The sequence below is a fragment of the Homo sapiens genome, chromosome 2 (assembly GCF_000001405.40).
Source record: "Homo sapiens chromosome 2, GRCh38.p14 Primary Assembly".
NCBI classification, from domain to species: domain Eukaryota; kingdom Metazoa; phylum Chordata; class Mammalia; order Primates; family Hominidae; genus Homo; species Homo sapiens.
The window spans coordinates 118,798,073-118,808,073 of record NC_000002.12 but is presented as its reverse complement, the minus strand read 5'-3'; the positions used below and the strand labels follow the sequence as shown (position 1 = coordinate 118,808,073).

General features: G+C 43.1%; 1 annotated feature.

The window, feature by feature from the left end:
• Positions 4,562 to 5,140: a transcriptional cis regulatory region, noted in NCBI's record as "candidate enhancer chr2.4272 targeted for multiplex CRISPR interference". NCBI's record gives its function as "positively regulates EN1 gene expression with high confidence in K562 cells {active_cell/tissue: K562}" and the evidence as "EXISTENCE:mutant phenotype evidence [ECO:0000015][PMID:30612741]".

Sequence of the window (10,001 nt, the reverse complement as noted above, 5' to 3'; positions counted from 1 at the left end):
TTTCTCTCCTCTTCCAACTAAGACCTAATTATTATTGGTTCCTGCCACCTCCCCCCTCTCCCTCCTGCCCACTCTGGGTGTAAACTGGGCCATTTAAGAAAAAACACAGAATATTGGGAATAAGAGAAGAAGCATCAGGATAATTTCACAGTCCGACTCCTTCTCTCTCCTCCCTCCCTTTCCCCTTTCCCCCTCCCCCGCAGCCCGCTGGGCTCTCCTGTTGACCAGTAGAACGCAAAACTGATCAAAGCCAGCCGGAAGCCTTAAGTAGGCCAAAATGGGGGCTAAATTATGCTAATAGAGGAGCTAAATATACTTTAATCCTGTTATAATACAAGGTAACTTAGAGGCAAGGAAAGGGCTTGGTGGCTTTAGCAGGGGGCAGAGGGGGGCTAGGGACCCCTGTGAACCCTGAATAGAAGTCGCTTCCTATTCTTTCTCTGGCTGGGGGTGGGGTGGGGGCCTTCTTCCTCAGATGCTCACCCCAGCCCCGCCTGCCCCGTTTACTGAGTGTCAACAGTTGGGTGAGCAAGACTTCTCAGCCCTTAGATCAGTATCCTGTGACCTTCCACATTGAAGCACACACCATTCAGCCAAGCCTTCCAGCTGTTGCCTGAATGATGATTTTTTTTTTCTCAGAGTCGGGCACGGCTTAGGAAGACACTAGGCAACAGTTTTAAATTATGTCCTCGCCACCACCCAGCTCGCTGTGCAGATCCTGCGGGGGCCTGTGCACAGCCGGGCCTGGTCTAGCCTGGTGAGGAGCTACGTGAGCCAACAGATATATTTTGGGCGGAACTGAGCAGGCCTCGGAAGGAAAGCCAGCCTCTCTGCCCAGCTTCAGAGCCACGACTCTCAGCAGGCTAGCCCTCGTCTAGTTTTAGAGAGGACAGAGGGAACCTGCATTGGTTCCCTGACTCTTACTGCAGTAAGGGCCTGAGGTCCTCTGCCCCACGTTTCCCTCTGGGCTCCAGACCTTGAGGGCTCTGGGAGATTCCAGAATGTCAGGGAAGCAGTTCTGCGTGGATTCTCCTTTCTGGGCTGGTGTCTAGGCTCCAGCGACGGCAGAGGAGACTGATGAAATTTTACAGCCAGCCAACTGCTGCTGGTGTCAGAAGATTAAAAACAAAGGTCGCACCGAGGCCTGCCTCCCACCGTGCGTCTCCAAGTCTGAGGGGTGGAGTGGGGGAGGAGGCAAATGGCCCCAAATATTTCTCCGTTAAGTACAAATTACATACTGGATATATAAAGTTGTAATGGTGTATTTTGAGTCTGACTGGTTTCATGAGAACATCCATGTACCCTCCAAAATGCTGAGACGGTGACACAGGCAAACAAAAAGGAATTTAATCCTGACGGAATGTGTTTTGTTTGAATTCGGGCACAGCTTCCTTTTATTTTTTCCCCCTTCTCTTTTTTATTCTGAGTTCCTCTTCCTCTCTTCTTTCCTCCCTGTATCCATCCCATCAACCCCCACTTGAATGCTACAAGCAGCAGAATCCTCTGACATTGTATTTGTGGGTTATTTATCTTATGGAGTTGGCCAGAAAGTGTATAAACAATTAGCTCAATAAAACAATTAGCTCCTGAAAACCTAGCATTGAGCAAAGAGATCTTTTCTATCTCTACCTGCTCCCTGCTAACTGAACCTCGGTTTCCTGGTCTGTAAAGTGAAAGGTTCATGTAAGGTCGTCCCTAAGCTCCCCTTCTGAGGCCTCTGACAGTACAGGTGGCTGTCTGTCCAGCAATATCTGCCAACAGGTGTCCACATGGGGCATCCACATGGATCTAAAGGGGTGGCAACACAGCAGGCGGCCCAATTCGTGCCCGGTGTTGATGTGTGGAATCTGTCACACCAGTAGTGCAGAGAAGGTACCTTTGCAGGAGAAAGAGAACCCACAGGCTGCAACGGAAGAGACTCTAGAATTTAATTCCGGCTCTACCGCTTACTGGCATTGTGTTTGGGGGCAAATTCTTAACTTTTTCACACGTGAGTTATTTAAAATCTGCAAAATGGAGGCAAGACTATCTGTCTCTTAGAGTCGTAAGGATCAGATGGGATGATACCTGGGAAGTTCTTGACATGGCACTCATGTCAGCCAGGGAAGTACCTACTGAGAGTAACCTCTTACTACTATTGGACTTAGTCCTAGTAAGACCATTGTTACTTTTATATTAGCAGATGAAAAGTCCCTTTTTATAGTTTTAATACTTATTGATTTCAGCAAGAAATAAAATGCAACTATCTGTCTGAAGCCAGTTCTGAGGGATCCTACTCCCCCATCATTTTTTCCTGCCAAAGGCAAGGGCATTGGCATTGTAAAACCTGGCTTCAGTATTGATGCTAAGTTTCCCAGTCCTGAAGGCAATCTAAGCCTCTCACATTCTCCTCATCTCTGGTTCTGCTTTTCCTTTAAAATATCTTCCTCAAGCTCTGGGGCAAGACCTTCCTAACTCTAAGGGGAAAATAAAAAACTGTAAATGTCCCATTGACCACCGATACTTTCTATTTCTCACTTGAGTGGAAAGCCTCCCCACCAAAGAGTCTTGAGGACTGAGTCATCTTTTTTGTTCTTTGCGACAAGTCATAAAATGGTTTTAATTATATGGTGTTTTTCCAAGTAAACAACCAGACTGAAAGAGAAAATATTTAATTTTTGTTGAATTAAGTTGGGAACAATCTCAGCACCATGACTGCCGACGAGGCCGGCAAATGGGGCTTCTGATACTGTCCTTGTTGTGGTGCATGTTTTCCCTTAGCGGTAGCAACAAGGAAATAGGAACCAGGCCAGAGAGATGCAAGAAAAACGTAAAACGCAACTTCAATACGGGATTCCAGATTCCAACTGAAACCCAGGAGTTATTTTGGTAACAGTTTTGCCAGGGGAAAAATATTCAAAGATCTTTGTTTCCACCATAAACAAACATAATATTATCCTGACTACAGTGTGACCTGTGAAACATCCTTCAGTTGACTTCCAAAACCCTGTAGCAAATATATGAATAGTAACAGCCGATTACTAAGCGATTCCTCTTCTTCTTTTATTTAAACTCTTTATGTTCCACACATTCATTAACATTTCCCTGCATGTCTCATTATTATCTCATCAAACATTTATTATTACTTCAAGATAGATAATTAAAATTTTATATAGTTATTTCTCTGTATGACAATCCAGTAGGTTTCAGATCCCCCACCCTCCCCAGTACTCACATGTACCCTCACAATTGGGCCATAAAACTCGTGAACTTCAATTCAATGTGCAGAAAGCATAGGAACAAAATCTAAAATTCATTTTGAATGGGAGTTTAGTTTCCTGAATAATGACTTAGTTATTGCCATTGTTAAAGAAACAGAGAAAAGACGTCTCATAGGACTATCCTTGCTCTTCATCAAATAAATAACTGGACTCTATGGATACCATTATGAGACAGACAAACAATGTACGCAAGTGATTTTAAGGCCTGAACTGGATTTGTTAGAATTGAGACAGCAGATGCAATAAACTCAAAAAGATTAGCAAAGAATTATTCTCTTTCCAGGATGCATATTACATTTAGGACTAGAAACCCTGATATGGATTATATATCACACATATTGCACAGAGCACAGAAGTATCAAATTTATCGAAACTAGGATGAGATCTTTTTTCAGTGGAATTTAAGAATGTAGGTTGGTTTTTGGGTACTTACAGCTCGGAAGAGAATTTCCGGGTGGGAAGAACATCCAGCCTTAACAAGCCAGTGGCCTCTTGTTTTTCCTGCACTGTTACCCTGCCTAGACCCGAGCACGAGCAGAAAAATCATCTGAGACCAAACCCAGCCCTAAAGGGCTTGGCTTGCAATTTATTAAATTGCTTGAATTTGGTTTTGAAGCTACAAATCTTTTTGTTCTAGCACAAAATAATCAGTGTGCCAAGCTCAAGGAATTTTTTTCCACAAATGTGCAAAACAGAAAGATGTAGGTCTAGTCTGTCTAATTAATTATATAGATTAATGCCACTAACTTTGGGAAAATACCAGTGATGCCCTTCAGTCGCATTTGCCCTATCTAAAGAAGGTGAAGGCCAATTCACCTTTTCTAAACTTGTAGAACCTCGCTTGGCAAACAACCGTTTTTCCCTCTTTGGGGATTTTTACACATACTTGGTTCAGGTTTCAGCTTCTACACCCACCTTGGTGGGACAGTGTTTGGGCAGGTGGGGCGGCACAGCCCAGGGTTCTGAGCTGGGGAAGGAGCAGCGGGAGGGCCTGATGTGGATATTAAAAGGCACTCGGGCTGCTCAGAGACTGTGTGTGGATACCTGGATCTGTCCTGGGACAGATGGCCAATGCCACTTCTGGCCTCGGATGCTTACTTTCCAATATTAAACCTCCTTCTTTCAGGCAGTCCACATGTTCTTAGTGGCAACCACACAAGCCAGCCAGAAGAATGTATTAACATATAAAATGGGCTGGCTCCTCGGGAAAATCATGGTCATTGCCCTCACAGAGCTTTAATTCATTCATTTTCATAGTGCTGCTACTGTGTGCTGAGCAAAGGAGAGTGTACAATGCGGGCAGCGTATAATTCGTTCTTATATGCCGGTGAATAGACTATGATCGTAGGAGGTATGATCGTAGGAGGTCTGAAGGGATTGGAGGGGTGGCTTCAAGGATGGGGGGACTGGGTGGGAATGGAGCAAGGATGGAATGGTGAGTGGGCTTTGAAGAATATAGAGAATGCTCTATGTTAGTGTACCTAGGAGTTGAGTCACACCTTCATCGAGTTCTTATTGGGCATCTACACGGTAAGCAAAGCACAATGCTAACTGACGTGTGGGTAATCAGAGATATCACCAACATGGAATAAAGTACTCTGAGAGAGGGGCCAGGGTATGAGTCATCTTTATCACTTCCACCCTGACTGCGTGGGAGGCACCCTCTCAACAACTCGTTATGTAACTGAATTCAAGCATGTCCACCCTTCTGGGTGTCCTTTGCAAAAAGCCATAAGATCCCCTCACTCCTTTTTCTCCTTCACTGTGTTTAGTGTCTTCCCCTTTTGGTCTGAAGATTTTAGAGTTTTTCCTTCACGATGCTCAGATCTTGGGCATCAACCTTCCTTCCCTACCCTTCGGGGCTGCAGTCTATGTCAATCCATGAGTCCTTCTGAATGCTCTTGGGGTCTTCCAAGGCTCTAGGCCTCCTTGGTGTGAAATGGGGGTAACAAGGGGAGTGTCTGCCTTTAAAGTCTTTACTTCTGATTGTGGAGATACAAACTAAAGTTTGTTGGTGCCTCATGAGGTTTTTCTCACAATGAGTCCTTGAAGGAGGTATAATATTGCCATTTCAGAGAGAGAAAAAGTGAGTCCCAGAGTGATTGTTAAGCTGCCAAAATTACACAGCCAGTGCTTGAGTGACCCCACTCCCTCATTCAGGAGTCAAAGAATGGCTCTCCTGTTGTGATTGGGGCTAGGACAGCAGAAACTAGAGGGCCCTCCATTGCAGGAACAGACCACTGAGTGCCAGGATAATGTAGCACAAGACAGCACTTTTCAGTTCGCATGTTTCCTTAATTCTTTCTTCGCTGCAGCAGTATTGACCAGTCAGTGAGAAATGCACTACTTTGCACGCCCAGACACAGCCTAATGTTGAACAAATCTGAGCCCACCCTCACCCCTAGCCCCGTTAAATTGGTTTGATCAGCCTGGTGGCCTGGAATGTCTGAAGTCTTGCAAAAGACACAGGGATATTTGTTGGTGGGTCTCACATACACTCTCAAATTTGACAAGGCTCAACAGTTGCATGGTGATCTCTGTCTGCTTCCAGCACCAACTCTGTTCATGGCCCAGCTCCCTCCCTCCTTGCCACCAGCACAGGAGACCAAATGTATCTATTCGAGCCTTTTACATATCATTTAATTTAGAGCAAAACCCTGATTTTAATAGTGGAGCTCACATCCTGGAAAAGTCAGAAGAACAATACAAATGCAAGGTGGGGGCAATGGGAAGTGCACCTTAGGAAAGAGCAGGGCTCGGCTGGGCTCAAAATCCATCCCAAAGGTGTGACCCTGGACAAATCATTTAATCTCTCTTGAATTTTGTTTTTCTTTCATTTTTTGGAAATGAAGGTTAATAGGGTTTTTTTTTTTTTTTTCGGAGGGCAAAATGAAATGATTTTTGTAGAGCTTGGGATGGAATGGGTACTCCATAAAGGGCACATATTATTATATTTTATGTCTGGTCCCCACATAAATCTAATGTGCATTAATTATAGCCTGCTGGGCCAAGATCATTTCAGTGTCTGATTACTCATTGGATCCTGACATCCTCCTCTGGGGTCATGATGCAGGTCTGAAGAAGGAGTCAGGAGAACAAGGCCAGGCAGGTATTTTCAGTGAATGAAGGGGCTTGATCAGAAGGCAACAGAGAGTGCTGGGGTCTATGGCAAACTAGCGTGCACATGCCTTTTCTCATGGGGTGATTGTGACTCACCTCCAGCCAATGGTAGCTATAAGTGTGGGCCATAGTCTCTAAGTTTTCAAAGAAGCCAGACTTTTTTTTCCTTAAATGTGAAATTAGCTGGTAACTGATGAAAATCTTTTGAACAATTGGTACAGGCCAACTCTGTATGGGCCAACCCAAACGTATCTGTGGGCCAGATGCAGCCCTCCACTGTGTGACCTCTGGCCCAGAAATCCTGCCTTCTTCTGGACAGGCATGAAGCAGGGTGGAGCTGGGAAAGGCAGGAGCCTGGCAGAATCTTCCAGGCATTGCATCTTGCGTAAGGTGCTATGAAGGTCTATGCCAGGCCTCACTGGAATGTGGAAACAATGGGATGATGTTTAACACGGTGTCTGGCAGGCAACAGAAATTCAGTCAACGTTATTGGTGTTACATGTTCTAGAATGGTTATTTGCCCAAGATCACTTAGAAGAGTGATAGCTTTGGGGGCCACATCAACCCCATTTTCGGTCGCTGTTTCAGGGTTCATGTCATTTATATGTTCTTAGCAGTATCATTATGGTTTTAGGTATAGTCCACTTCTCTCAATATTTTTTGCATTGTTATTTGTTGTTGATATGATTACACTTGGGGAATTTTGGTACTGGAAAGGCCTTAAGAAATAACCACATCTCATCTCTGTGTTTCACAGAAAAAAAGACTTTACATTCCATAGAAGTTGAGTCACTGATTCAGGGTCCTACAACTAGGCTGCCTGAATTTCTGGTTTAGTTGTGGATGAATTTGAGGTCCCAGCTCTGTCCTTGCTTAGCCTAAGGTCAGGCTAAGAGTTCCTTCGACAAGGAGCAGATGGGAAACGTTGCATTGTCTGGGACAAGGGACAGGTGGGTGGCTTATGCTACTAATTGTTACCTGAGTGATAGATCCTGACACGTAGGTGAGATTAGAAATTGAGGACAAGAGTGGAGGGGAAGGGAGTGGGCTGGTAAGATGCAGGCTTAAGGCAGCTGTGGTCATGAGAAGGAATCTCTGACTCTCAGAAACTCTCTCCCCATCCCTGCTTTATTTTTTCTGCCTCCTAATGTCTTACATTGTTTGATAATGTATTATCTTCACTGTCTGTCTCCTCCCAGTAGAATGTAACGTCCACAATGTTTACTGCATAAATAACAGTAGTAATGTATGTCTGTGCAATAATAGTCATACTTGTCTCCATCCTTCACTCATGGGATAGAAAGGACCAGGCAAGTAACTTGTCCACAGTGAGATTACTAAGAAATTACTGGCAGACCAGACCTAGAAACTGGTCCCTTGATTCTAAGCACAAGGCATATTCCCCTCTTCACTTCAGATATATATTCAACTGTCTTGACACTATAACTCTGACTGTAGCTTCAGTGATTGTGGGTGGAAATGAAGCTTTGAGCTAAAAATTTGCAATTAAAAAAAATCAGAGATTCACAGATAGAGTATCACATGGCTTTAGTTTGGGGGTAATTATTGCCAAGGGAGAGCTTGTCATGTTGAAATAAAAATAATCCCATTTCTTTCCCTACAACTTTGAGGTCATGCTCCAAAGGAGAGCAAGAATTGTTCTGTGACTTTGGGAAATGAGGAGAGAGCCTCAATCCTAACCTGGCACTGAGACTTGGAAAGCTCCAAGATCAGAGTGATCACTCCATTGGTAGAATTATGGACTGGTGGAACTTAGTTTAATTGGACCTTAAAAATACCACCTGTACCCAGGTTTCCCAAAGAATGGTACATACACTCTTGGTAACAAGAATATGAACATTTTATATTTTCATAGTTACATATTCATTTTAACATGTAGTAGACAAAAAATAGCTATCTCATCAGTCTGTGATTTCAGGTGGTTATTGCATAGGATAAGGCTTGTGAAAGAACTGAGTTATTTAAGAAAGAGGTGTTAGGTTAATTAGAGGATAGAGGTTATGAGAAAATGGCAGAAAATCCTGTTGGTGCATAAATGCCTGAAGTTTGGGAAACTTAATTATGTAGCTAAAAAAAAAAAAAAAGCCAATGAGATCCTTACCAACACCGCTGAACAAACTGGTGGCAAAGCTAGCCTTGAGCATGGGTCTTCTTAGGCTGGGGGGATTCCGGGGAGGGGACAGCATCTTCCCAGCCTCCCCAGCAACTGTGTTTAGCCTTTCCCCACTTCCACTTCTGTGTCCTCTCCCCCTCTCAACACATGCTTCCTCTGCAGCAATGGCCAGGTGTCGGGTGGAGTAGAGAGGTTGTGGAGGAATTAAGCCAGTCTTCCTGCCTCCAAGGAGCTTTACTCTATTGATGAAGCAAGACACTTGCCTGCATCAGGAGTGATTGCTACACACTTTGGACCTTGCATTTCCATCAGTCCCCCATCTATAATCACTTAGTATAAATTATACACATCTATTTCTATACTAGTGAGATTTCCAGGATAAAATATACACAAAAGTAGAAATGAATGAAGGTGAGATAAAGGTAGAGTAAGCAGGGCTTTTAAATGTATGAATGAGACAAAAGAAGCTAAATATAAAAAGCAATGGAACACAAAGGAAACTACAGTGAAAACTAAAGAAGATGTCATAAAGGCGAATTAAGGAATATTTTTAATTAAAAATTATTTGTTAATAGTAAAAATGACATTTTGTTCTCAGTGAAAAGTATTAATTTTAGAGAAATGCATTTGAATGTGTTTTAATGCTGGATTCAAAGTTCTGGTTCTAAATTTCTTTTTTTTTAAAAAAAAATACTTAGTTTTAATGGTTGTCAGAGCTGAAAAAAAAATCTCTACAAAGGCACCAAATGGAAGAAATACAATGCTGGCTGTGCTTACTAAATCAAGATGCTTTTTTTTTTTTTTTAAAAAAAAACCACATCTAGCAATTATGGAAAGGTTTTGTTTTTTGTTTAATTGAAATTCATCTAGTCAGCCAGTCAGTTTCTATCTTCTTGATGTCAATTCTTGTAAACCAATCAAAAGTTATATTTTTAACAAGTGGGCTCAAGATCCACTGAAGATCTTCTTTTGGAAAATTTTTAAATAGGTTAGAAAATTGTTTCCAAGTTTTTAAAGTGTGCGTATATTAGATTTTTTTTTTTTTTTTTTTTTTTTTTTTGAGACGGAGTCTCACTGTTGCCCAGACTGGAGTGCAGTGGCGCGATCTCGGCTCACTGCAAGCTCTGCCTTCCAGGTTCACGCCATTCTCCTGCCTCAGACTCCCGAGTAGCTGGGACTACAGGCGCCCACCACCTCACCCGGCTAATTTTTTGTATTTTTAGTAGAGACGGGGTTTCACCGTGTTAGCCAGGATGGTCTCGATCTCCTGACCTCCTGGCCTCCCAAAGTGCTGGGATTACAGGTGTGAGCCACTGAGCCCGGCCAGATCTTTTTTTTTAAGTATTGCATATATTCACTTCACAGAACAAAATCACACAACGATGGAAACACTTCTAAAAATCTGTTTTCCAAATATTTTCACTATAGCACATATCCCTTTGGCAAAACAGTTATTTATCACTCACTGTTAAAATATCAATGAGTGA